This window comes from Homo sapiens, chromosome 2 (assembly GCF_000001405.40).
Source record: "Homo sapiens chromosome 2, GRCh38.p14 Primary Assembly".
NCBI classification, from domain to species: Eukaryota; Metazoa; Chordata; class Mammalia; order Primates; family Hominidae; genus Homo; species Homo sapiens.
In genome coordinates, this window is record NC_000002.12 from 62193713 (window position 1) to 62220027 (window position 26315).

At 47.5% G+C, this 26315-nt stretch overlaps 1 protein-coding gene, 1 long non-coding RNA gene and 1 other non-coding gene across 4 annotated transcripts in view, besides 11 other annotated features; 2 read left to right on the top strand and 1 right to left on the bottom strand.

The window, feature by feature from the left end:
• Nucleotides 1–276: 276 nt before the first annotated feature.
• On the bottom strand, nt 277–2301 carry LOC124906013 (uncharacterized). Its single transcript, XR_007086336.1, has 2 exons — nt 1427–2301; nt 277–1195 (listed from the first exon to the last, which is right to left on the bottom strand). It is a non-coding gene; the product is annotated as an uncharacterized LOC124906013 (long non-coding RNA).
• Nucleotides 888–1495: an enhancer, noted in NCBI's record as "H3K27ac-H3K4me1 hESC enhancer chr2:62421735-62422342 (GRCh37/hg19 assembly coordinates)". NCBI's record gives its function as "activates a minimal SCP1, AML or CMV promoter by ChIP-STARR-seq in primed H9 embryonic stem cells {active_cell/tissue: H9 hESC(primed)}" and the evidence as "EXISTENCE:reporter gene assay evidence [ECO:0000049][PMID:30033119]".
• Nucleotides 1789–2018: a silencer, noted in NCBI's record as "silent region_11533". NCBI's record gives its function as "represses an Ori minimal core promoter by ATAC-STARR-seq in GM12878 lymphoblastoid cells {active_cell/tissue: GM12878}" and the evidence as "EXISTENCE:reporter gene assay evidence [ECO:0000049][PMID:35858748]".
• Nucleotides 2102–2708: an enhancer, noted in NCBI's record as "H3K27ac-H3K4me1 hESC enhancer chr2:62422949-62423555 (GRCh37/hg19 assembly coordinates)". NCBI's record gives its function as "activates a minimal SCP1, AML or CMV promoter by ChIP-STARR-seq in naive H9 embryonic stem cells {active_cell/tissue: H9 hESC(naive)}" and the evidence as "EXISTENCE:reporter gene assay evidence [ECO:0000049][PMID:30033119]".
• Nucleotides 2102–2748: a biological region, named in NCBI's record as "H3K27ac-H3K4me1 hESC enhancer GRCh37_chr2:62422949-62423555".
• Nucleotides 2309–2748: a silencer, noted in NCBI's record as "silent region_11534". NCBI's record gives its function as "represses an Ori minimal core promoter by ATAC-STARR-seq in GM12878 lymphoblastoid cells {active_cell/tissue: GM12878}" and the evidence as "EXISTENCE:reporter gene assay evidence [ECO:0000049][PMID:35858748]".
• The window catches only part of B3GNT2 (UDP-GlcNAc:betaGal beta-1,3-N-acetylglucosaminyltransferase 2), a 28617-nt gene continuing 4704 nt past the window's right edge, over nt 2403–26315 (top strand). Inside the window, exon 1 of one of the 2 annotated variants that reach the window (NM_006577.6) lies at nt 2403–2643. The gene's annotated coding sequence lies outside the window, so the exon portion shown is untranslated. Of the gene's footprint in view, nt 2644–21805; nt 21904–26315 lie in introns of those variants that run through there. The other variant, NM_001319075.2, reaches the window with a different exon arrangement.
• Nucleotides 2929–3278: a silencer, noted in NCBI's record as "silent region_11535". NCBI's record gives its function as "represses an Ori minimal core promoter by ATAC-STARR-seq in GM12878 lymphoblastoid cells {active_cell/tissue: GM12878}" and the evidence as "EXISTENCE:reporter gene assay evidence [ECO:0000049][PMID:35858748]".
• Nucleotides 3689–3798: an enhancer, noted in NCBI's record as "active region_15850". NCBI's record gives its function as "activates an Ori minimal core promoter by ATAC-STARR-seq in GM12878 lymphoblastoid cells {active_cell/tissue: GM12878}" and the evidence as "EXISTENCE:reporter gene assay evidence [ECO:0000049][PMID:35858748]".
• Nucleotides 8403–8903: an enhancer, noted in NCBI's record as "NANOG-H3K27ac hESC enhancer chr2:62429250-62429750 (GRCh37/hg19 assembly coordinates)". NCBI's record gives its function as "activates a minimal SCP1, AML or CMV promoter by ChIP-STARR-seq in naive and primed H9 embryonic stem cells {active_cell/tissue: H9 hESC(naive and primed)}" and the evidence as "EXISTENCE:reporter gene assay evidence [ECO:0000049][PMID:30033119]".
• Nucleotides 8904–9404: an enhancer, noted in NCBI's record as "NANOG-H3K27ac hESC enhancer chr2:62429751-62430251 (GRCh37/hg19 assembly coordinates)". NCBI's record gives its function as "activates a minimal SCP1, AML or CMV promoter by ChIP-STARR-seq in naive and primed H9 embryonic stem cells {active_cell/tissue: H9 hESC(naive and primed)}" and the evidence as "EXISTENCE:reporter gene assay evidence [ECO:0000049][PMID:30033119]".
• MIR5192 (microRNA 5192) lies at nt 12114–12205 on the top strand. Its single transcript, NR_049824.1, has one exon. It is a non-coding gene; the product is annotated as a microRNA 5192 (primary transcript).
• Nucleotides 21782–22281: an enhancer, noted in NCBI's record as "H3K27ac hESC enhancer chr2:62442629-62443128 (GRCh37/hg19 assembly coordinates)". NCBI's record gives its function as "activates a minimal SCP1, AML or CMV promoter by ChIP-STARR-seq in primed H9 embryonic stem cells {active_cell/tissue: H9 hESC(primed)}" and the evidence as "EXISTENCE:reporter gene assay evidence [ECO:0000049][PMID:30033119]".
• Nucleotides 23932–24431: an enhancer, noted in NCBI's record as "H3K4me1 hESC enhancer chr2:62444779-62445278 (GRCh37/hg19 assembly coordinates)". NCBI's record gives its function as "activates a minimal SCP1, AML or CMV promoter by ChIP-STARR-seq in primed H9 embryonic stem cells {active_cell/tissue: H9 hESC(primed)}" and the evidence as "EXISTENCE:reporter gene assay evidence [ECO:0000049][PMID:30033119]".

Consider the following 26315-nt stretch of genomic DNA (forward strand, 5'->3'; position numbering starts at 1 on the left):
GAGCCACCGTGCCTGGCCTAAGAATACCCTTATTTTTAAATTTCATGGCCTGGGCAGCCTTGGGCAGCGAGGGACACAAGCTTAATTTCCTAGTTGGTTGCCAGCTGACATTGTAGCAGCTCCTTTACTATAAACTCCTTGGCTGGCCGTTCTTGCAAGCATGTCTGTGGCTACAGGGAGTGCATTTAAAGGGAAGACACATATGCATGGAAACAATATACCAATCTGATGGCACAGAAAATCTTCCTTAGATGTCCGCTTTGTCTCAACACTGCATTTAAATATCAGACAGCAGCCTAGAGATATCTTTATTTAAACCCAGGAACATGGACTCAATATTATTTTGATACAGAATGAAGACATAGACTTCATTTATTAATTTATACTCCCTAGAGTTCTTTTTTTTTTTTTGAGACAGAGTCTCACTCTGTCACCCAGGCTGGAGTACAGTGGCACGATTTCGGCTTACTGCAACCTCCGCCTCCCTGAGTTCGGCGATTGTCCTGCCTCAGCCTCCCAAGTGGCTGGGATTACAGGTACATGTCACCATTAATTTTTGTATTTTTAGTAGAAACAGGGTTTCACCATGTTGGCCAGACAGGTCTCGAACTCCTGACCTTGTGATCCACCCGCCTCGGCCTCCCAAAGTGCTGGGATTACAGGCGTGAGCCACCGCGCCCGGCCTCTACTTCCTAGAGTTCTTAGAGAATTTCTAGCTTCTGTTTCTTTAAACATGTTTTATTAGCTTTCTAAATTATGAAAGTAAATACAACTGGAAAAATACAAAATCCAAAGTCAAGGGAGTAAAAAAATGTAACTCCCTTGTTTCCCCTCCCCGCGTAACCGTGGTTAACAGTCGGTGTGCACCCTTACAGATGTTTTTTCTATGAAAATACAAACATTCGACTTGTTTCTTGGACTTTACCTCGCAGTCCGAGGAGAATCATGTGAACAGCATGAAAGCAGCATGGTCCGAAGACTGCAAACCATAACATTTCCATATCTACTGACTCTGAATTCCTGTTTCTAGAGGACCCGCACCCACGTGGCTCTGTGCATCCGCAGCAACTTGGTCTTTCTTCCTTTGCTGAGTTTGGTTAAGGGAAAGGGCCGATTATTGAGTGGGCTCAGTTCACAGGTGCCTGAAATTCCTACTTAGCAATGTTCCTTTCCAGCTGATTCCGCCTCCGAGAGCCTTAGGAAAAAATGCTAACAGTTAGGAGCGAAGCGTCCTTAATTGCTCAGTCCAATTATCTAGATGGGTCCAGGTTCGGTTTCGATTCAGAGATAAGGACCAGGGGGCGGGGACGCTTCCAGGTGAGCCCCTGGTTAGGCTTGCCTCCCCGCGGAGCGCACGCGGGTCTCGCTGGCTGGACTGGGCCTTTCAAGACCAGGTAACTTCTCCATCCGGTATCGCCAGGCTTACCTGGGGGCCTCAGAATTGTGTCAGCTGCGTCTCTGAGTCACCTTGGAACCCCTCGAAGGAGCGCGGGGCTAGGAGGGCGCATCGGTGGGCCCGGGGACCCCGCTGCTAGGTGTGGTTGGCGCCAAGGCCGCCTCTGGCCGGCGGAGCCCTGCAGTGTCCGGAGGGTGCGGTCAGAGTCCGGCCCTTTAGGCCTTGCCTCGGTATCCGCCTTGCCCCTTGGGCCGCGGCACGGGTTCGGGCCGAGCGCCCGGCATCTTGCGTTTCTGGCTTCCTGAGACGGGCGTGGGACCTCGAGGAAACCACTCTGCATGACCCCACGAAGAGAACTAAGGACCACCCCCCACCCTTCCTGTCCTGGACGGCTTCATAAGCCAGAGGATCCAGTGGCAGTACCAAGCAGGGCACCACTCTGGGTCGTGAGCACCTAAGAGGTGGAGCAAAGGTCAGACCCCAGGGTGGCCCAGGCCTCCCTCCCCCGCCTCCCCGGCGGGGCCATTCCTCACCCGCCCCAGCACTGGAGGGGGCGGCCGGGGTCGGTCTAGTTCCGGTTACAAACTGGACAGAAAAGGCCACTGGAGTCTCGCTAGGCGATGCGCCTAGTCCCCTAGCCTCAGACGAACCGCAAGAGGGGCCACCCACAACTGGAGGGGCGGAGGCTGGAGCTGAGTTTCATTAGTGTTTTTGGAGCTGCCAGGCATTTCCAGGGGGGTCGCCTTCCTAGAGGCCCCCTTTCCCCAGCTTAACCCTCGGCTTTGCAGGAGGGTGCGTGGGGGCTGGAGGGTCCCTGGAAGCCGCAGGGAGCGCGGGCCCGGGTGGGTCCTGGTACCGGGTGGGGAGAGCGGAACCCTCCCAAAACTTGGGGCGCGGGGCGGGGCCGTCGGGCGGTGACGTGAGGGGCGGGGCCGGGCCCCATTGGCGGGCGGGCAGGGGAGGGGCGGGGCCGGGCGCCCGCGGCGGCTGCTGCGCCTGGAACCGGAGCCTGGAGTGAGGCGCAGCGGCAGCGGCAGCAGCGGCAACAAGTGCCGGAGGCTAGCAGAGCCAAGCCGGAGCAGTCCCTGCCGCCGACACCGCCGGGCCGCCCGTCCGGGGCGCCGCGCATGGAGCGTGAGCTGCGGCGGTCGCCGGGCTGAGCCGCGCGGAGCGGCCGGGACGTGGATGTGGCCGCGATCTCCCGCCCTTGCCCCCGCCCCGCCGAGCTGGAGCTGCTCCCGGACAAGGTAGGGCCCGGGCGCCGAGCACCCCCGCCGGCTCCCTCCCCGCTGCCCTCTCACCGCCAGGCCCCTCTACCAGTCCCCTTCCGCCTCCCTGCTTCCCGGCCCCACCTTCCGGACACCCTGCTACCCCCGCCCGGTTCCTCGCCGGTTCCGGCTTCGTACCCGCGCCCCGGTGGAGGAAGCCGTCCCTAGGTGGCTCCTGCCGCATTTAAGCCTCCCTTACCTTCCCGCCGTCCCAGCCACCCAACCTCAGCCCAGAGGGAGAGGAGAGGGACACCGCCCGCTGCGGGGCTTTGGAACCTCCCAACCCATTCCGTGCCCACCTCGCCCTGGAGCCCGGGGACCTTCCCCCTCCTCGCTGCACCCCAACTTCCGGGGGATCCGGCGCCGGGGCGATGCGGGCTTTGGCAAGGGGCATCTGGGGCCGGGCCTCCTCATCCGGGGCGCGCGGGCATTTCGGGGAGGGGGGCGCGCGTGATTCCTCGCTCGCACCCCCGCACCCCACCCTCGCACTGCGCCGGCCTCCCGTGCCGCATGGGGAGATCAGGTGTTTTGTGAGCCAAAGAGCCGCCGGCAGCCGCTCCCCACCCCCCACCCCCAACCTCTGCCACTTCTGTCTCCGGCTCCCCCAAAACTGGTTTCTGCCAAACTTAGGGAAAACCTTTCGCTTTGACCTTTTAAAAAAAATATTCCACACTGTTTGCGTTGAATGATTAACCAGGCTGCTAGCCCGAGTCGTGGGGGTGGGGTGGGGCGGGGTGGGGTGGGTGCTGCCAGGCCAGGGAGCGCCTGAAGCCGGACTCTACGAGACACCCCTCGTGGGAAGGTGGGCGTGGGGGGCCCTGCCGGGGCTGCGGGCGCGGGACTGGCGGCTACTCCAGCACGGCAGGCGGACCCTTCTGGAGGCAATAAACCGAGTCACCCGGTTAATTTCCAGGCCACGGTATTTGAAACTCGGGGCTGGGGAGCCGCAGAACTCCCTGTACCCCCATCAAGTAGAGGAGCCGTCGGGAGACTCCCCACAAGTGTCACAGCGTCAAAGCTCATCTTTAAAAATATGTACATTTATAACCTGGGTTGGCGAGGCGGCGCTCTTCTGCCCAAAACGTAGGGGTGGTTAGTTTGTAGAGTGGGCTTAGCTCACAGGTGCCTGAGCTGTATCCCCGTGGCCGCCTCAGCCACCCCAACTTCTCAGAAAGATTGTTTAGAACAATTAAACTATATTCTTTTGCCCTTCTCTTGTTGGAACCCTACCGTAATATCCGATAGCGAAGCCAGTTGGTGAATATAGAATTCTACTTGTTAAAACAAATTCTTCCGGTATAATTATTTGTGCCTCTGGAGGTGGTAAACGAGGTGGCCGACAGGGCCGGGACTGGGAGTGAAAAGGCGGGGACCCTGGCCGAGCCAGTCCCGGGGCTCCGGTGCCGGCTTATAGTCGCACCCATGCGGATCTGACAGCTGACCCGGAGGGAGGACCGGCAGGGCAGGGCAGGGCGGTCACTTCCCATTGTCCTAACTCCTGCTCCTGGTTCTTTTGAGTAGAGGGTGGTTAAGCCTGGAGGAATTTGGGAGAGTTTTACTCGGAGCCCATGCGCTCTTAAACCAGATTAGATTTTAAGAACACAGAAGTGAAGGAGCCCCATAGGGCTGTACTTGAGTAATTTGAGTAATCCTTTTCCTCCCTGCTCAGACTTTACAAATGTGTTTATCATTAGATCTTCTGTTTGAAACTACTTTTTTAGTTCGGAATATTGCTTTTTCTCCCTACAGCAAGGGTTCACTGTTTCTCATTTAGTTTTTGTGCAGGCGGCATTTGTATGATGAAGGCCTAATTCTCTGTGAAACTGACCAGTTCTCACCCTTGCCATTCATTAGACTTGATTCTGCCACATTTAATTCAGTGATCTTGGGCAAGTTATTCTTCACCTGAGCCTCATTTTACACATCTGGTTTTGGGGATGGTGGTGTTTGCTCTGCAAGATTATTTCTGAGGACAAATAGGATGTTTGCCAAACTCCTAGCACTGCACCAGGAGAGCTAAGAAGTGCTTAATAAATGGTGGTCATTGCTGTAATCAATAGAGAAGTTCCTCCTGGCATCGACTTCCCCTTACCAAAAACAGTAACCCTGTGGTAGCCTTTTAGATTTCCCTGTCTGAGACTGAAATCAGCCACATTTGGCAGATGCACATCAGAAGGTTCTTAAAACCTAAGTAGTATTTTGAGGAAAATAAGCATGATTTGCTTGTTGTTCAAAAATTATGAATTTTTTTCTGGGCTTCTGGTGAAGGGCTGAATATATGAAGGTTTGTAGTTTTGAAAATTTTCTTGTTTTAAAGAAAAGTCATGTTTTAGGTTTCTGATAAACTAAAGTTGTGCTAAAAATAGGAAAGTAGAACTGATAATTCATAGTTGATTTTGACTATACTGTTCAGATATGTGGTTTTTTTTAAAAAAAATAGTTGCATTAGTGAGGCATCGTTGGTATGTTCTGAAGAGAAATATGCAGGGCTTTTTCAGCTGATGCAGGGATAAAAGAAAAGGTGAATCTTCTGTTTCTCAAACTTTGAAACTTAGCTTTAAATGTTTTTTTCTTTTTTTTTTGAAATGGAGTCTCACTCTCCCGCCCAGGCTGGAGTGCAGTGGTGCAATCTCAGCTCACTGCAACCGCTGCCTCTTGGATTCAAGTGATTCTCCTGCCTCAGCCTCCCCAGTAGCTGGGATTACAGGCATCCACCACCACGCCTGGCTAATTTTTGTGTCTTTAGTAGAGACAGGGTTTCACTGTGTTGGCCAGGCTGGTCTCGAACTCCTGACCTGGTGATCCACCCGCCTAGGCCTCCCAAAGTGCTGGGATTACAGACGTAAGCCACCGCGCCTGGCCTTAGCTTTAAATGTTTTCTAGCAATGCTAGGGTTTCATGAAAATCCTAATTTAGGGATGCTGATCCACAGCTGTTAATACTCTTGACATACTGGGTCAGTGCTTTTCATTCTTTCTGACTTGGTTAATGGATGTAGTATTTGACTGTATTTTTCTGTATTTTTTTGATGGTTTTATTGGAAAGTCTGTTAGAGACTTTAAAAATTAATAACTGCCTATGGTTACTTTTATAAACATTGAGACCTTGAGATCTTGCAACTAGGATAATACTTGGTGATGTGTAATCTATTGCAACATCCCTGATGGTGGTACATACATCACCAATACTGAAAGATTCTCATAAAGGCCTTTTGGTCTCTTATGTAAGTGCCCAGGGGAAACTAAAGTCATTTGGTTGCTTGGTATTTTTGGTGTGTACAGAAGGTTAAAACATGAATTAAACTAGACTCTGAAGTGGTAAATGTTTCCTGGCTGCATCCAGTAAAGAAAACAGCACAAACACCCAAAAGGTGTGGACCCAGCTGTCTTTTTCTCCACTCTCTAAGGTGGGATTGCTGTTCCTACGTACTTGCCAAATATGTCTGCAAATTACAGAATGAATACATTCCTCTCTCTGGAGAGGCAATTACTGTTTGAATAAGAGGTGTATGTATGTGTGGGGTAAGGTTTTGGGAGAATTGATGTAATGATTTCATCATCACTCACTGGTAAGGAGACTTTGCCAGGCTGGAACCTGTTACTTGATGGAGAATTTATTATTAGGGCTTATGTGGCACAATTACTTTGCTGCTGGAAAAAGTTATTTGTACTGAGTTTTCTATTTGTTACAAATTTTAAGAGTTGAGATTTTTGCCCTCTGTGTGTTGCCCTGTGAGTATTAACAACCTCTGCCCACCAGCTTTGTCTTTTTGCCTTGTCTTAATTTTTGTAACAAAAATTCAGATGTCTTTTGAGAGTCATAACATGTATCTTGTGCAATTTTAGCTTTAGGTATTTTCATATATAACTTTAAGAATGTTACACATTATTTTCTGTGCATCTATAACTTAAAAAAAACAAAAACCATTTTCTGATGTGGCTACAGAGGGGGAAATTCCCAGTAGCCAGGAAATTGATACTTTCTACTTTTCATTCTGTGGCATTTTAAAACAGAGGGTTCAGGTGTCTTCATTCTGATATGAGTAGGATGTACGTAGCTTACCAGAATGTTTGAAAAAAATGATAATCCAAGGTAATCAATTCTGGCATGTGGCTAGATTCTGTCCGAGTGCCATGTGGTGGTTTAGTGGTTAAGAGCATAAACTTGGAGTCCATAAGATGAGGATTTTTTTAACTTCATGTATAACATGCAGTAAAGTGTGAGAAGTGTTAATATTAAGCATGAGCTCATGTATGTAAGCTCTCAGATTAAGAAATAAACATTTTCAGTACTGCAGAAGGTTCCTGCGCCCATGTCTTGTCCGTGTTCCCACCCCCTCACCCTGAAGGAACTGTTATTCTTTCTTACATCATCATAGATGTGACTTCTGTCATCATAGATGGGTTTTACCTGTTGAACTTCATGTAAGTGGAATCAGTCATACAGTGTGGCATGTAGTCTTTTGTGAAATAGGCTTGAATTCTATTTTTACCACTTATTGTGTGACTACGGACAAGTTATTTAATCTGAGTCTCAGTTACGTATGGGAATGCCTAAAGTTAAAATTACACGAACTATTTCAGGATAAATTTTCTCACTTGTAAAATGGGGAAGATAAAGCCCTATGTTAGATTTACTGGGGAAAGTAATATAAAGCTACACCTAGAATACCTAGCACTGTGCCTGACTGCAGTTTCCTCTTCCCCTTTTTATTTCTTTAACAGGGTGATAACTAAAGCAACTAGATCTTTTGTGTTTAAATGAGCTATTTCATTAAAAGTTCTGTAGGTCTTTTATTGAAAATTAGAAGACAAATCTTTATTTAATACTTTGTTGATATAGCTTTAGCTTTAAGATGTATTATTTGTTAGTTGCCTGTTTTTGACATTTCCTCTCTAAAGACAGTCATTGAAATGTCCCATTCAGAGTTGTTTGGCCACCTGTGTAACATGAGCTAGGATGCAGTGATGAGAACTGGTTTATGGTCAATTATGGAGCTTGTGGAAGAGTTTAGTTTGGGTAAGAGTCATCAATAAGTGCCCAAGATGCTCACAACATCTGCTTTATGTTTAGTGAAATAATTATTTCAGAGGTGAAAGCACAGGACCAATTATTTTAATTGCTTGCTTCAGACAAGCCACTTAAAACATTTTCAGCTCTTGTAATCTTACCGTGTAAGCGGTATTACATAATTCCATGGCCTCATGTCTCCTTATTTGTTTGGTACTTTTCATTTTTGGACTCATTCTGCAAATGTAACTTGGGTAGTACTTGGCATTCTTTCTAAATGACTTTCATTAAATGTTTATTTAGAAAAAGTATTCAAGATAAAGTAAAGGAAAATAAAACTAATTCCACCCTCTCTCACCACTATAACTACATTAACTTGATGTGGGTCCTTCTAAGTGCTCATTTCTTCTTTTGTACACTTCTAGAATGACCTTAGGAAAAACATACTTCCAATACTTTATGGAAATTTAAAACAAAATATGGGCCTGCTTAGAGATGTCTAGCAGAGAAGGCAAGAGTCTTCGTAGGCCTAAGTTCAAATCTGTCCACACTGTGGTCCCTACTTGTACCTTTGTTAGTGCTGAGCAGACAGTCCCCAGAGACTCCATCAGAGGGTCCCCTGGTCTCCAGATTACAGTAGCCAACACGGAAAACCTGCCCTGGAATACTTCTCCATTAAGACCTCAAGATGTTTGGTGAAGTGAGCAGTTTGTTCTCCGACCAAACACGCATTGATTGAGCACTTGGTGTGTGCCTAGCACTGTGCTTGGCTGTGCGTGATTGCTGCCTTCAGTGGGCAGTGTGGTGGAGACAGCCAGGAACTGGTAAGATTGCCTTGGTAGAGGTGTAAGCCAATTATGTGTTGGAGGCAGCCAAGAAAGGCTTCTTAAGGAAGTGGCCTTTGGGCTTGGTCTTGAAGGATGTGAATAACATTTCAGAGGCAGAGAAAGGAAGGTAGAAGTGCTCAAGGGATTGTAGGCTGAGAAAACAGGACACAACAGAAAGGCTCATAGAGGTCTTTTGGGGAAACAGCAGGTGATCCATTGGGTTTGGAGTGCATGGTGCTTAGAAAGGTGTAATAGGCCATGATGCAATCTCGGGGATCATGCAGAGATGTGGCAGTTAATAGTTATGGAGGTAGTGAGGAACCAGTGAAAGTTCTTGTGGTCAGGGGAGAGAGAGAGAGGGTGTGGGTGCTGACAAGTTATGGCCAGGCTTGCATTGAGGAAGATGGGCCTGAGCGTGAATGAGGCGAGCCTGACCCCGGGCAGGTCATTGCAGTCCCTGCGTTCTCTGCTTCCCATTTGCCCCCTACCAGTTTCTCTCAGAAAGAAGCTGGAGGGATCCTTTAAAAACTGAAATGACTTGAGGTTACTTTTCTACTCAGAATCCTCCAGTCAGAATCCCTGTCTTCTTCAGAGGAAAGCCAGAGTTCAAATGTCACCTACCAGGACTGGTGATCTGCCCTCCTCCTCCTACCTCCCTTCTCCCCCTCATTTCACTCCAGGCACAAGGCCCCCAGCTTTCCTGCCTCTGGCCTTTGTGGTGACTGCTCCCCCTGCCTGGAACTATCCTCACCTCTTCTCTGAGAGGAGGTTTTCTCTGATCACCCGGCATAAAGCAGCCTTTCCTTATCCCCTGTGCAGTGCTTCATATTTCATCTAAGTGTTTATCAACCTTACAGCAATCAACTCTGACTTGGTTCTTTGCTGCCTGTTTTCAACACTGCTTGGTTTAAGTAGGCGTTTGACATTTGTTGAGTTAGGCCACTTCATTAAAGTTAGTCTTAGTAGAGGGGAAACTGAGGGCTCAAACCAGGGCAGGGATAGTACAAGATTGAAATATGTATGTGTGTTGTTTGGAAGAGGTGGGTGAGAGAAAGACTCCTGGTGGGTGTAAAGGAATTTGGAAACCAACTAAGGGAGGTTAGGAGAAGGGCCATGACACAGGTATATTGGGGCATTTTTTAGCATACGGGATATGGGAGTCTGTAGTGATGTCTAGGGGACAAGAATAGGGGGTAAGGGAAGACCCAGCAATAGACTTGGGCCCAGAACTGTGGAGCAAGTCCATTTTGTGGGATGGGGCCAAGGAGCAAAGGCTGCCAACATGCAAGAGAACCCTGGGGGTTCCTGAGCTTGGGGTGGGGTAGACATGGTGGCCAGCAGTATTGGGTGCCCTAGAAAGTCAGGAGGGTGCAAGGACTGCGAAGATTCTAGAAGGTGAGGGGGATTGGGAGGGTCAAGGCAGGACAAATGGGCATGACAAGGAGCATGTGCCTGGTGCCTTTGGAGAGGGAGAGGCTGAAGATGGGGGAAACAGTGGAGATTGCTATTGGTGCAAGACCCCAGAAGCAGCAAGAGCTGTCACAGGGAGTGGAGATCCTGGGAGTTGGGGGTCAGGGACTGGCTGATGTAGAGAACTTGAAGTAGGTTTTGGTCCCAGAGCTGACATCAAATGTCTTTGTAGCTATGGCAACCCACTTAGCTCCTGTTTCCCACCTCCCTGCAGAATCGCATGAAACCTGCACAGCCAATTTCACATGTTTATTATTGGAATCCATTGAACTCATGAATATGAAAGTGTTAATGCTCTGGGAAGATATTTCTATGGACCATAAACTTGCTGCAGTTTATTTGTGCTTCAGAATTTTTTTTGAGACAGAATTTCCCTCTTGTTGCCCAGGCCGGAGCGCAATGGCATGACCTTGGCTCACTGCAACCTCTTTCTCCTGGGTTCAAGCAATTCTCCTGCCTCAGTCTCCTGAGTAGCTGGGATTACAGGCATGCACCACCATGCCTGGCTAATTTTGTATTTCTAGTAGAGACAGGGTTTCTCCGTGCTGGTCAGGCTGGTCTCGAACTCCCAACCTTAGGTGATCCACCTGCCTTGGCCTCCCAAAGTGCCTGGTAGAAATTTTTCTAATTGTTTATTTTCTTTGAGAAGCACTTAACATCCAACTGGTTCTCCAAAGTACTTCTTTTTTGAGTCTTGATCAGGGAATAACACAATTGTGGTGAGTTTTATGTGCATGTGTGTTTTTAACCCTCCAGGTCTGGCTCTAGATTGTTCACTGGGAAGCCGAATGATATTTTCAGATTCAAATATATTTGTCTAATAATGAAAGGGTCGAAGTGTTACAAATGCTATCCTTTCTAAATAGTCAACATTTGGAACTAGTGAGATATATTTTTACCTTTATTATTTTATGGTTGTCTTTGAAGCTTGTTTATAAGGAACTTTTATGTAACTTTATTCTTGAGATGCAGCCATTATATTTTTGTTCTTTTCCTTTACCACATAAGGAATTATTTCCTTCAAATGAACTTAAAATATCTCTCATGAATACTCCTATTTTTAACTGAATGTTTCTCTTTTTTAAAAAACTTTTATTCTTCAAAGTTCTGATGGATCGTCTTTTTTTAACTCTTTATAATGGAAATTTTCAAACAAGTGCAGATACAGAGAATGGTATCATGAAGCTTCAGGTAGCCACCAGCGGCTTCAGGGTGATGATTCTTTATTTTCATCTCTACCCCACTCACGACTAGGGGCCCATGGGCACCATCTAGAGAGGGAGAGAGAAGAAGGTCACAATGGACCACAGAGTGGGCAGCCATCAATTTAGAGATAGCGGAGGCTGGGGGAGAAGATTGGACGCCCCCAGGGAGAGTGACAGGCAGACCGGCGAGATTGGAAGCCCGTGGCACTGGGATTGCTGTGGTCCCTCGTCCCTCCACATATGTGATCACCTATGGTATATGAAGGGAACGTGCAGAGACTCGTTTAAAACTGAGGTGACTCAAATTGCTTGGTAAAAGAGGCCCAGTTTTTAAGCAGTTCAATAGTGCCCACATATTGAGCAAACATGTTCTCTTTTTACTGTGGCGACAAAAACTTTTCTTGGCGGGTGGCCGGAGAAAGCTATGTTACTATTGCACTTCTTTAAATACGGAAGCAAGTCTTGGTCGAAGGCCTGAATGATGCCTCCCCTTTTATAGAACATTTGGATAAAAGGCCAAAGTGTTACTTTTTTTTGAGGATACGTATTTTAAAATGTATATGGTTTATTTTGATACTTAAAAAGCAACAACTTGAAAACAACAGTCCTGAAACACTTGTCAGTAAGGTGTTAGGATTTAACCAGCCTTTGAGAAAGGGAGAAGAGGCGGGACAGGAATCCGAGATGGAGCAGGGAGCTGGTTTGCTTCTTTGCCGCCTTGCTCTGAAGTTGCCACCCAGGGTCACACATCACTAGAAGTGTTTTCCTCTGGGAGGAGGATGATGTCTGACTGTGGAGAAGAGGCAGCATCCCAGAGGGAGCCCAATTTAACTGGATGCTCAGTGTGAGAGGAGGAGCGCTGGCATTTAGTGGCTGTGTGCCGTGGGCGGGGCCTGCCAGCCCTTGGCTGTCATTTGCCACCTGAGGGACAGGCTGCTTAGTTCCAGCCTCCTGGCTCACCTGGAACCATTTCTCCTGGGAAGCATGGTAGCCAGGAGAGTGGATTCCAGGTGGTGAGGGCTTGGTACTCCTTTTGGGGGATCCTGAGTGCCAGGAGAAGAGGATGAAATCGATGGACTGGGGGAATCAAGGCTGTCCTCATGGAAGAGGAGACAGGATTTGAACCTGGGCCTTCAAGGATGGGGGTAAGGATGGAGAGAAGCAAGATAAGGGATGTTTTAAGCCAGGAGAAACCAGGCTGAGAAGAGGTATGGGTGGGGAGGATAGTAGTTGTTGTTAAGGGGTGCTGGTGTCTAGAGGCCTCCGGGATGGGGTTTTAGGGGTGGCCTGCCTGGATCAAGGATCAGCTTGGACGTGCTCAGCGAGGATGGGGATGCCCATTTCCCTCCATGCAGCTCTGGGCTGGGGGCGGCCCATCTGGGTTCTCAGTTCCTGCCCTCTCCCTCTACTTTTTCTGGGAACATCAGACAACTTTCTGATCCTGTGAACCAGTTTACTTCTCTGTGAAATGAAGACACCTCAGTCACCACTTGACTGTGTATCCAATTGCGCCCATGGCATATGGACAAGCCCTCACTCAGCTAATGGGTGGGCACTAGGTGTGCAGTGGTTAATTTGTTTTATTATAAGGAGTGTCCTTGATACCTTTATCTCATTTCTCTATTTTTTTTCCCTTCCCCAAAGTGTTAGACCATGCACTTTAATCCAACATTATTTTTATATGTTTTTTATTCTTGTAGAGACAGGATCTCTCTCTGTTGCCCAGGCTGGCCTCGAGTGATCCTCTCACTTCCACCTCCCAAAGCACTGGGATTACAGGTGTAAGCCACTGTGCCTGGCCTAGTACAACATTATTTAAAAATCTCTACACATGTCTACTCTGCAGAACTTTCTGCACTCTTTGTGCCTGCTTTTGGAAGAGCGAGTCAGGCAGTTCTCTCCAAGCTGCTACCCTACAAGACTCCAAATGGATAAGCCAAGGAGTCCTGCAGTCTGAGGTTGTAGTACCTCACTTTCTGGTGTCCCCTTCGCTGTAACCAAGAGCATATTCTCTTTTAAGAAAATGTGTCACTGGAAACCTTCATCCTAACTACCAAGAAATTGAGACTTCCCAAAGCAATTTATTAAATTACTTAAAATACAATGTCATTTGTATAATTGTGAACACTTATTGAAGTTACAGAAGGTTATTTTTAATATGCTATATGTAATCTCAAGTTGCAGCATGTTCAATGCTTTTTTGATTTTGAGGTTACATTTTTATTTTGGAAGGAAGACAAATGTAAACGTTTATCTTGCAGGGAAATGTTGGGGATGCTCTCAAACTCTACAGTTTTGTTTTTTTTTTTAAGACAGGGTCTCACTCTGTCGCTCAGGTTGGAGTGCCGTGGCACGATCTGGGTACACCGCAACCTCTGCTTCCTGGGTTCAAGCGATTCTTCTGTCTCAGCCTCACGAGTAGTTGGGACAACACACATGCTACAGGCCACCATGCCCAGCTAATTTTTGTATTTTTTGCAGAGACGGGGTTTCATCATTTGGTTAGACTTACGGTTCTTGAGGGACAAGAATTGCCAAGTATAATTTAATAGAATTGGAAAGGCAGTGGTTGTTTTGAAAGAGTTTGTCTGTAGAGTACCTGATGGAAGTGAGGTACATCCGTGGTCCCCAGCCTTTTTAGCACTGGGGACTGGTTTTGTGAAAGACAGTTTTCCACGGACTCCAGGGTGGGAGGATATGCGAGATGGTTTCGGGATGAAACTGTCTCACCCTAGATCATCAGGCGTCAGATTCTCGTAAGGAGCATGCAACCTAGATCCTTGCATGCGCAGTTCACAAAGGGTTCGCCCTCCTGTGAGAATCTAATGTCAAGCTGATCTGACAGGAGGCAGAGCTCAGGCAGTAATGCTTGCAGGCCTGCCCACCACTGCTCACCACCAGCTGTGTGGCCCCGTTCCTAACAGACCATGGACCGCTAGGGGTCCATGGCCTGGGGTTTGGGGACCCCTGCCATAGATTATTCTTGCCTGGGAAAATAATGGATTGAATTTGATTGCCTGAGTGCTTAATATTAAAGTGCTTGTTTTAAAATTTGAAATTTCTGCTTCTCTGTGTGTGGCCAGTTATCACACCAGTGGAACTAAGTGGTGGGGAATGGTGTACTTTTGAAAGTCGATCTTATGAGTTTGAGAGGGGTCATCTTTAAATTTTGTAAATTGGTCATTAGTTGAATTCTTGTACATTTTACTATGTAAAATGACAGTAATCACTTTTTCGTACCTATGTGAAAATAGTCTCCTTGTTTGTATGTGTCTGTAGACATGAGGAGCCCACATAACAGACAACAGATTCCTCCTTCCTTCCCCCCTTCCTTTCCCCCTTCCTTCCCCCCCAATCTCTACACCAAGACTGCCAAGACTGGGCTGATGGCCTACTTATTTCCAGAAGCACTTGTACAAGGTCACTTGGATAACAGTTTATATAATGGGATTCTGTTTCTAGTCCAGTAAATGTAATTTATGCTTGTGCGTTTCTATTAATTTTTAATTGCCTTCTTTCTCACCTCCCCCATCCCTGAGGCCTGTGTTTGTTTATAGATTTATTTAATTGTATTTGTTTCCTGAGTCATGTTTTTAGGTGATGTACTGCCTTGAGATGACACCACGTAATTGTGTCTTGAGGAGTGAGGCCTAGAGGGGAAAGCTCGGGAATTGGTAGATGCTTAGGATACTTATGGAGAAGAGGGCCAGGACTGGCACAGAGCCAGGGACCAGAGGGAGGGATGCTGGGGAGGGGGGTGTGTGTGAAATTATCCAAGAATGGTTTGCTAGAACAGTGTTTAAAATGTTTGATCAAAATGGTCAAAGAATACAAAATGTCCTTAGATTAGGTCCTGGTTCCTTTACTGTCCCTCCCCTTCTTGTTCTCATATTGATTGTGTGTTGAGTGGTAGGCACTAGAGATGCAGAAGTGAATATGGCCCATTCTGCCCAGGAGTCCTTGGTGTGTCAGACCTGTTATCACACCGTGTGCTAAGTCAGATAAATGTGGGTGAGGTGGTGGTAACAGCAAGGGGGAAGAAATACAAGCAGCCCAACCTGGGTGGGGGCAGTGGGGTGGGAGGAAGAGGTGACACATTGGCGCTTTTTTGGTTGTTGTTGTTGCAGTCTCACTCTTGCCCAGGCTGGGTCGGAGTGCAGTGGTACATTTCAGCTCACTGCAGCCTCTGCCTCCCGGGTTCAAGCGCCTCAGCCTTCCTAGTAGCTGGGATTACAGACATGAGCCACCATACCCGGCTAATTTCGGGCCATTGGCTCTTCTGTTTTTATGTTGATAGCCCAGAATGGAAGCTATAGACTGTGAGAAAAAGACTTTGTTACTAATGATAATTTTGACTACTGGACTGGACTCCCCAGTCCCCTGGGACACGTGGTAGTAATCCTGGTTCTCTTCCCCAGGGCAGCCTTGGGCAAGGCTCTGTCTCCCTGTGCCTTGGTCTCCTCTGCTGTAAAAGAGATATTAGAGTGGATGGTCTGTAAGGCCCTGGGAAAGAAATTCTTGGAGCTTCTTTCTGGTAATGAAATTGGGTCACAATCTATGTATGAATTCATGTGCATGTTGTTGAAAAACAAGTAAAAGAATGAGGTAAGCCAGGCGTGGTGGCACACTTGTAGTCCCAGCTACAAGCTGGTGGCTGAGGTGAGAGGATCACTTGAGCCCAGGAATTCAAGACCAGATGGGGCAACACAGAACACAGGCCAGACCCTTTACCCGCCCCCACGCCGTCACCCCCCACACACACCAAGAGTGAGATGGTACAGTTGGTGGGTAACGCTGGTTCTTTGATCCCTTTCCTTCACAGGAGAGCTGGGGTCTGGACCAGCCCTGTGCCACTGTCCCAACCCTGTGGCAGGTTGTAAAGTTGTGCTGATCTCCCTTCACTGCAGGCTGTGATGTTGGAGGGAAGGAAAAGCAGATTTTCTCCACCTGTAGCCAGCTCTGACAGGTGTTTAAGACGAGGCTAGTTTAAGCCCCAGCAGTCTCTCATCCTTTCGTATGAATAATCAAAACTGAGTCATCACAAAACATATCTGCAGGGGATTCTGCCTATGGTGCGGAAGTGTTACCAGACCAGGACCCCTGGATACGTTAAACCATTGGGTGATTCCCGACTGGCCATTTTGTTGTCTACATTATTACTTTCTCATATCAATTTGGAAAGAAAAAAAAATTCGATTCCCCCTGCCTTTCCTTGGAATGGTTTACATCTTCCTGGATGGGTATCCACAAATGCAATAATTTTGGTACCTTAATTTTTTAGAACTACAACTTTATTTGGGGATTCTCAATCCTCCTCGAGCAACGGTATTGTGTGGTAGAAAGTATAAGAGCTTAGACCCAAGGTTGGGACCAGAGTCCAAACACTGACTCCACTGGGATTAGCTCTGTGACCTCAAACTAATTGCCTCACATTTTTTAGTTTGTTGTGGAGATTAAATGAGATGAGAACATCCCAACATTAAAAATGGGCAAAGGGCATGGGGGAGTAGGAAGACCAGGAAGGAAGCATATGAAAAGATGGCATCAATTAAAACAGGGAGATGTTCTTTTTTGGTAAAGATTAAAAAGGAGGACAGTGGCCGGGTGCGGTGGCTCAGACCTGTAATCCCAGCACTTTGGGAGGCTGAAGTGGGCAGATCACTTGAGGTCAGGAGTTCGAGACCATCCTGGCTAATATAGCGAAACCCCATCTCTACTAAATAATACAAAAATTAGCTGGGTGTGGTGGTGGGCGCCTACAGTCCCAGCTACTTGGGAGGCAGAGGTAGGAGAATCACTTGAACCCGGGAGGCAGGGGTTGCAGTGAGCCGAGATCGCACCACTGACTCCAGCCTGGATGACAGAGCAAGACTCCATCTCAAAAAAAATAATAATAATAATAGGAGTACAGTATTCACTGTCAGTGTGGATGACTTCATGCTCTTGGGTATACAACGAGAGGATAAATCAGTGTGACCTTTCTTTTTGGTGGGAGGTTAAGGGTGAGAGTGAGGGGAATAGCTTGATTCTATGCTAACTGACTTTAAAAGGTTGGGTTCCCTTCGTAATATGTTTCCTCCGGAAGTAACCAGATGATGATGTGTCTAGGAGGGTGTTTATGTGTTTTCAGTTATAGGAAAAATCAGAAACAACTCATAAGCTCATTGATTAGCAATTGATAAAGCAGTTGGGTGGGGTGGCTCGTGCCTGTAATCCCAGCACTTTGGGAGGCTGAGGCAGGTGGATCATTTGAGGCCAGGAGTTTGAGACCAGCCTAGGCGACATGGCAAAACCCTGTCTCCACAAAAAATACCAAAATTAGCCAGGTGTGGTGACATGCCTGTAGTCCCAGCTACTCAGGATGCTGAAGTGTGGGGGCATCGATTGAACCCAGGAGGTTGAGGCTGCAGTGAGCTGTGATTGCGCCACTGCACTTCAACCTGGGTGACAGAGTAAGACCCTGTCCCCCCCGTCCCCCCCAAAAAAATTTGATAAGGCAGACCACATTTACCTATATTCTGGCAGGGGAGTTAGAGATCCGACAGAAGACAAACCACTCTTCCCCTGTGAACTGAATCTGCTTTAGAGAAATTAAGTCTTCGGGACAACAAAACCAACTAAAGTTGTAATCAATGGGCATCCAACTTGGAGTTCTTCGTTTTTTCCCTTATTTCATGTTCCTATGTGATGTGGTCAGTTTTCTGTTTTAAGTAGAGGGGACAGGAAAGAAAACACATTCCTCCAGTCCATCCAGCAGCAGCATTTGTGAAGCAGCCACAGCTTCACATACTTTCTTCCTAGCAGCCCTGGGCCCCACCAGCTCCTCCCTGCCCTTCTAGTGTGGCCTCAGAAGCTGTCTGTCCATGAACTGGCTGTGTCCATCTCTGCCTGCAGACGCTCTGTGCCGTACCCCATGTCTTGCCTGCCCTGCTTCTCTCTACATTTCTGAAATTTGCCCTGTTGGAAGCCCCACTAAGGTCCTGCCTTGACCCCTGCTGTTGACTAAAGGGCTGTCACGTATTTATTATCTCTGCCAATTCAGTGTATAGGACCCATGTTTTATACCCGCTTTTCCCCAAACCCCAGACTTAAATAAAAATGTTCGTTGTTAGAAATGACTCTGGGTTGGTGATGTAGAGATCTATAACTTGTGCCAGTTTTTAAGTATTGCCTTCCTGCTCCAAATTCACCCTCAGTTGCCTGATCTCTGAAAATGGGTCTGGGCCCTTTAAATGTTTTTTCTTTGCCTTTTGTAAGTAGAGGGCTCTGAAGGGGACCTTGTAGGAGGAAGGGATTTTTCTTCCTGATTTCATATGTGTGCATGCGCATGCTTTTCCTGCACTCCTATATTCCTGCAGGGCACACCTTTCTCCAGCATCTGTTGCTCTGTTTTCTGCAGCTCTGGCATCGGTGGTACCAGGAGCCTAAGACTGGGTGGTCCTTATCCAACCCAGATCATTGCTTCCTACAGCCTCTCAGCCCCCATGTGTGTACCCCAAGCCCCCCTGGTGCTGGCCATCTGGTGAGCTAGCCACCTGATCTTTGTCCTCAGCACAACCCTAAGCTGCTCTGGCCTAGGGTATACATTGACGTGGTAAGCTCCTATGGAGGGAGGCCTCTTCACTCTGGTCCAGCAGCACCTGATGACTCCCTGTGTGTGCCCCTCCTTCCTTCTGTCTGCTTGACTGTCTACACCCAGACTTGCTTGCCTGTACCCTAGAGGGTTGCCCCTGCTGCTTGGTGACTGTGGGGGATCTCTGGCCTAGGTACCCAGGAGTTTTTCTGCCATCTATACTTTCTTCAACAAACTCAGAAAAAACCCCTGCCCTACCAAATTTTGGGAGATATTTTTCATCTGTTCCAGGGCATCCTTTAGATTGTTATTTCATCTTTATAGTTTACTCAAGTGTCATATTTATTGTATTAAACTTCCCTTTCTTAGATTACTGTTTGGTTTCTACCTGCTGGTTGAACCCAGACTGAAAAACATTCTATGCAGCTCACCTAAGCAGGCAGAAGGATGAATCAGAGAGAAGTCTTTAGAGATTTCTGAGGGCTCACTGAGAGGCTGCCAGAGTACACTTGCTTGTACACAGGTCCTAGAGGTTGGAGTGGAAGCATTTACCAAGCCACGTACAAGCTCTTAACCAAGGGCTTCCAATATGCATTAAGCTCCCCAAAAAGGGACTGCTTGCATTCCGGTGTTTTTTTTCTAAAATGACTGTCAGCTGGGGCAACATGAGGAGACCTCGTCTCTACAAAAAAATTTAAAAAATTAGTTGGGTGTGGTGGCACATCCCAGCTGCTCGAGAGGCTGAGGTGGAAGGATCGCTTGGGCCTGGGAGGTTGAGGCTGCAGTGATCAGGCAACTGTAGTCTAGCCTGGGCGACAGCGGAGACCCTGTCTCAAAAACAAAAAATGATTGTCCCACCTTAGGTAAGTAGATGCCCCCAGGTTGCAAATCTGTACTAAGGATCTTCCTCTAGATATGCTTCCCATGACTGTCATGGCCTTGTAGGTTACAATTGCTGGAGGTCCATCCCTCTCCAGAAAGGAGGTAGAGATGCCCCATTTTGGGATAAGGGTGCAGGAGGGATAATGGGTCTGCTGCGGAAGAAGATGGCACCCTCACCTGGAAGCACTGCTCAATCCCACACACCTGCACACCCATGAGTCTGCTGCCTTTGGTGGTCTGGGGCTGACTGTGGGAAATGAGGGGGCGGCTGTACTTCTCACCCCAGTTTACCTCTTCAGATCTTGCCCCCACCCTCACGTCTAACATGGAGTCAGCACTGCTGAAATTCTTATCTCCCCTAAGTCTAGCAAGTTATTTAAATTTTTCTGTTACCCTTTAGTTCTTAATAAGTGAGACAGTTTTCTATAAACATGTCTGTAATTCAGCACACATGTGATTTTTCCATTGTCATCTCTTAGGAGAAAGGGTGTATATATATATATAATCTGGTTTCTACTGAACACTGTGTTCAGTAAACTTGTCCAGATGACCAAAGTATCTGTTCCTTTAGCAAATGCTGGGTAAGTCTCAGGTACCACGTGCTGGAGTGTAATGGTGGTGCAGTGTGAAGACCTTGACTGCGGAGGGTTCCCAGGCAGAGGCATCCTGATCAGGAGCAGATACCCTGACTCCTGGGCAATGAGGCTGGTGTTTAGGCTGGGGCATACCCTTGGGCAGGAAATCTCTAAGAGAAAGAAGTGATGAAACCCTGAGTTCAACCTCTGGGAATGGAGAAGAAAGGAGTTCTAGAAAACAACAGACACATAGCTAGAGTTAGGCTCTGAGGGAACAGTAGCATATTGGTGGTGGTCTGGGGGAACTGTGGGAACAGCATGAGCAGGGAGGGTGTGTCCAGGGGACTGAAGACTTGGGAAATAAGACATATTTGGGAACATAGTGGGAAAGGAGGCTGTAGGCTATTGCAGGCTCTGGAATAGAGGAGAGATGAGGAGGGAGCTACCAGTGGCGTAATAGAAGCACCTGGCTCCTGGCTGAATGCGCAGAGCAGGAAGCAACTCAAGGTAATGTGGGGTTTTCACCAGGTGCCTGAGAACTTGATCCATTGCACACAGAGGCCCGAGGAAGAGGGACTCTGCAAGGCATGTGGAAGCTAATATCTGGAGTTAGTTTGTTGACCCATGAACCCTCCTTTTGGAGGTGATGCTCATGGCATTGAATGGAGGAGTTTGTAGAGAGAAGACTACTAAAGAGGCAGTGAAGGACGGAACTTTGAGAAATGTGCTTCGTTTAGGGTTTGGTGGAAAAGGCAGACCCCTGAAGAGCTATTGGAGGTTGTATCATCCCATTTTACAAAGGAGGAAAGTGAGGCTTAGAGAGGTCGGGTAACTTGCCTAAGGTCACACAGCCAGTAGGTAGCATAACCAGAATTTAATCCTGGTCCTGTCACTCCAGATGCCAAACTGGTTTTCCAGTCTGAAAATGGATCTGGGACATCTCCATCCTCAAACGTCTGCTACCCTTATTTTTAAATTGCATAATCTTTCCACCTAGACCTAAAACCCTCTTTAGTTTACTAAAGGCAGGGCAGAATGGCCTCTGGGAGGGTTAATTCCCTTCTCCTCTTTTCCTCAAAGGTTCTGTATGTGTTTATTTGAAGAATACTTCTAGTGGCTAATTTGATTTGAAATGATGAATATCATTTGAGAAAATCGGCCACACTGGGCTTTCGGGGGGTTGTAATCAGTGGGGGCCAGAATATGTCCTGCCAGATGCTTTGATCTATAATGTTGCCTGTGGGACTGTGTAGGTGAGTAGATTCATTATAAATACGTTTCCCTTTTAATTTGAACATGAAGGCTAAAAGTAATGGCTGGGAACCAAATTCCTTAAATCTAGCTGACAATAGTTCTGTGACTTACAGACTGGAGAGCAGAGGTAGACCATCATCTTAGCTGAGTGCCAGCCTCTTGGTGAGGGAGTCCAGGGAGTCCTGAGGCTCCCTTGCCCCGGTGAAAACCCAGGCCAGGCCTCTTTCCGCAATCAAGGAACAAGCTGTAGGTGTGGCCCAGCTCTTCTGGTCCCACTGAGCTGCTCCACTCACACCCTTATCACTCCACCATCTGCCAGCAGTGCTGGGAGCTATTCTCTCCCCTAGAGCCATTTAGCTGCAAACTGTCTCTGTCTCTGTTTATCCGAGCAGAACCTGGAAGGGGCTGGCAAGGACTAGGCAACAGATGGGACAGCCAGAGAGGTGAGGACTTAGGTAAACCACTCTTGCCAGACTCCCGGAGGTGGTGGGGAGGGAAAGGGCAGAGTGAACGTGCTCCTCTGGCCTCGTGATATGGCAGGGGGCTTGGGCTCTTTCTGAGGATTTGTGTGTCCTGTTGGAGCAGGAAAGTGAACAGGAACCAGGATGCCCTCTAGAGATGGAGGCTGCTAGCTCTGACACTCCTGGGGTTTAGTCAGAAGCTTGGATTTCCAGCCCCTTTCTCTCAGCCTGAGTGGGTGGGGGTGACTGGTCATTTTATTTCACGGTTACAAGGAGGCCTTGCTTTTCTTTCATCCTTAATCTTGGTAGTAGGAGAAAGTGCAGGGCAGCCTTGGCACAGGTCTTGGGTCTGGCTTGTACGTATTGCTCGTTCTGTCCCTGGCTAGTTACTGTCGGGCATCTTTTTAGCTTGCCTGAGCCCATGGCGGGGGAGTCAGACCCTGCCTGAGTTCTGGGAGAGAGTCCTCATGGCTGTTGGTGGCCACATTCAAATGTTTTCTGGCCAGCAGTTTTGCTTCAGTGCTACAGGGCTCTCAGAATTGAAGGGAACCTTTTTAGGGTCATTGGGTTCAGGGATTCCCAGTCTAGTGTCCATGAGTGAAACGTTGGAATTGTTTCAGTATTTGAGTCCTAAGGAAAACAGCCTGTGTGGGCTAAGTAGGTATTGAAGACCTTTGCTTTGGTCAGAGTGAAACCAGCTGAAGGTCATCTCATGTGGATGGGTGGGAGGGAGGCCTGGGGGAGGAGGGATCATAGCTTCTGATTTTTCTTTTTTTTTGTTTTTTTTAAAGAGATAGGGTCTCACTCTGTCACTCAGCCTGGAGTACGGTGGTACAATCTCAGCTCACTGCTGCCTGGATCTTCTGGGTTCAAGCAGCCCTCCCACCTCAGCCTCCTGAGTGGCTGGGACCACAGGTGCATGCCACTACACCCAGCTAATTTTTTTTTAATGTAGACATGGGGTCTCGCTATGTTGCCCAGGTTGGTCTCGAACTCCTGGGCTCAAGCAATCCTCTCACCCTGGCTTCCTAAAGTGTTGGGGTTACAGGCGTGAGCCATGGCACCCAGCCCATAGCTTCCGATTAATAGAACGGTGGGACAGTAGGAAAATGGGCGCCCTTGAAAACCATGGTTTTGCATGGGAGAAAAAAAAATTAAAAACAGCCTCTTAGCTAAGAAACTAAGGTCTTGAGAAATTGGCTTCCCCGGGGTCATAAAGTCCACGTGAGTCACTGTCTGTTTTCACAGCTTGGTAATCTTTCCCATGTTCCAGTACAATGTGTAGAAGAAACTAGAACTAGAAGGCCTGGGCGCAAGCCCTGACTCCATCACTTGCTGGCTGGGAACCTGGGACTCTCAAAGCCTCATTTTTTCTCATTTTCTTTTAGGGGAGAGATGAGTGGGGGCTGCATTTTGCCCAGAGCCTAGCCTGTAGAGTCACTAATGTTACTTAAGATAGTACACTGCCTCCCATATCTGATGGTTGACTCGTAGTTTTGTGGGTGAAAATGTATAAATACAGAGCTTTTAAAAAGTTACTTTAAGAAGATTAACCATGGAAAATTAGACACAAATCCCTTCAGTTCCTGCGGTCATAACCATACGCAGCAGCGTTTGCTTCCGTGATTGTGTGATGGTTGAAAACTCGCACTCTGGAGCTATCATTGCCTGGGTTTGAGTCCTGGCTCTACCATTTACCAGCTGTGTGACATTGGACAAGTTCAGTCACTTGTCCACCCACCCCGTGCCCCCTACCCTGTGCCTCAGCGAAATAAGCAGTGGGAATTTAGAGTATCTGCCTCAAAGGATTGCTGGTGCTTGGTACATATTTGTTAAGGCAGGTGTGTTCATGTTTCACTATTACATGTAGGAGCCCTTAGGACGTGGCACAGGCACAAGGGAAGGTGTGCAGGTAATAGGGATGGGTGTTGTGACAGCCTCTATGCAGCACTGTAGGGGTCGAATACGGCGATGCTGACACAGGCTGGGGGTGGGCTGTGGAACAGGGAACCCCGCATGGGGCTGTGTGCTGTATCCCGGTCCCCAGCGTGCGGCGGAAGAGGCTGCTTACAGGGCAGACCTTTGGGCAGCGTTAAAGGATGTGAAAACACCCTCTCATCCCACCACCCTGAATAAACCCACTTTGTTTTTGTGTAGTATTTTATCTAGATTGTCACATAGTTTCAGCATCATGTCTACTGTTTTGTAAGCCATTTTTCAGCTAAGGTTTTCTCTGTTATACTGTCTTTCTAAATATTTTCATTTCATTAAACAAAACCAACTGAAGTTTCAAAACTGTTCTGTCCCTGTTGGGGACAAGGTAAAAAGCTAAGGTTGCTTTGTGTTTGTATATGGGGTTTTCTCTTATTTCTGTTACAACAGAAAGTCTGTGTTTCACAGCGAGAGTTTATAACATCTTCCCCCAGCTTTGGGGTGAGTTTTCTTAAATTCTTCTTACGCAATGTAACTTCCTGCTGAAGAAAGGACATTGGAATTGGGTTTTCTGTCTGCGATGGGAATGTTTAGTCAGATATTTAGAGAGCTTTTTCCCACAGATATTTTTATGGGGGTCACTGCTTTATCCTCCTTTCCATGAACTTGGCTTTGTTCTAAGAGCCTACTAGAAGCCGAGTTCTCATGCAAGACACTGTGCCCAGGTCACAAGTGCACGATGACATTTAACCTTGATGGAAATGTGCAGTTGAGAATCTTGTTTTCTCCACCTTCCTCTTCAGATTGGCTTGAAAGAAATACCCTTTAGCAAGTAATGGGAAGAGTTGCCTCAAATTGAGCCTTTGGGAATCTGAAGTCTTTTACAAGAAAGGCTGATCTGTTTCCTGAGGTGGGGCTGGGAGCTTGTAGGTGCCCCCATTTCTCTTTCTTTGGAGCCTCTTTAACTATCAATGTACCATGATCCCGTGCCATAATCAGCCTGTGGGACTTCACTGTTGACCTGGTCCAGGTAACTAGAATGTGGTTGAGCCTCATAGAAAAAAGAGATCCAGAGAGTCCTGGATTGGGAGCCAGAAGGTGGTCTTGTCTAAGCCTTGTCACGTAACTCTTCCATAATATTCAGGCAAATCATCAGTCCCCTCTGAGCTTCCATTTTCTCCTGGTAAAGTGGCATCCCGTGCAATGAGAAATGAGCAGGAAAATGCCCTGCGGGCTGGAGGCCTTGAGCACTTAAATGAAAGTTGAGGGTGGTGTTCCCGGGAAGGCCATTCATTAGTCCCTGTGTCTTGAGCCAAGGTGATGTGAGAACTGTACCTTGACGTGGCCTTGATTGAGGAAATAAAAGGCTGAATTGTAGCAGATGAAGTTGGAAATCTTGCCAGGGGTCAGCAAGCTTATTCCTCAAAGCATCCTCAAAAGAAGGATTGGTGTTTTCCGTGATAGAGGCTTCAAGTGGTTATGGCTGGATTCCAGTTATTCATGGCCTCTCCCATAATCTAGATGTATAAACTTGTTAAATTATCTGGAGTCATTTTTACATGTTATTCACTCTGTATCTTTCCTAGGAGAATTAGCTCTGGAAGTTCACAGCCTCCTATGTAAAGTACTGTGCTTCCCTTTTTTCTTCCCTAAGCTGTCCTCTTTTACTCCAGAAATTTTGGTAAAGGTCTATTAATGTTTAAATCCCTTTACTGAGTTAAATTTTTGCCGGGTATTAAGCTGTTCATAGTATGTGCTGTTTTTTCCTGAGTAGTTTTGCTCTGTCACCCAGGCTGGAGTGCAGTGGCACGATCTCAGCTCACTGCAACCTCAGCCTCCCAAGTAGCTTGGACTACAGGAGTGCACCACCATGCCTTTTTTGTATTTTTAGTAGAGGCAGGGTTTTGCTGTGTTGGCCAGGCTGGTCTCAAACTCCTGGCCTCAAGTGATCTGCCCACCTCGGCCTACCAAAGCAAAGTGCTGGGTTTACAGGCGTGAGTCACTCTGCCTGGCCCCTTTGCAAATCTTTTTCTTCATTGTAGTTTTTCACCATCACACATTTCCTGTTGCCCTTCCTTCCAGACTAGGAAGGGCCTGAGACCTAGAGACAGCAGTACTGGGTCAAGGGCTCACTTTAGCATTAGGAGAATTGTCCCAAGTTAGAGAGAACCTTTTCTTTTTGAGAAGTATTTGAGAAATAACTGGAGTTATCACGGAAGTCTCCAAAGGTATGAGGTTAGGTTTTTCAAGAGTAGTTTTGTGGGCAGGGGACCAGGGAGTGGGTGCTGCTGATTGGCTGTGGATGCAATCAAAGCCATGTGCTGAGTCTGCAGGGGTTGGGGGGAGTCATGAGTCTCTAGTCTGGGTGGGGTAAGTCTGAGAAACATTCAGAAGACCAATCTTAGTTTCTATAATAGTGGTGTTAACTACAGGAGCACTTGGGGAAGTCAAAGATCTTGTGG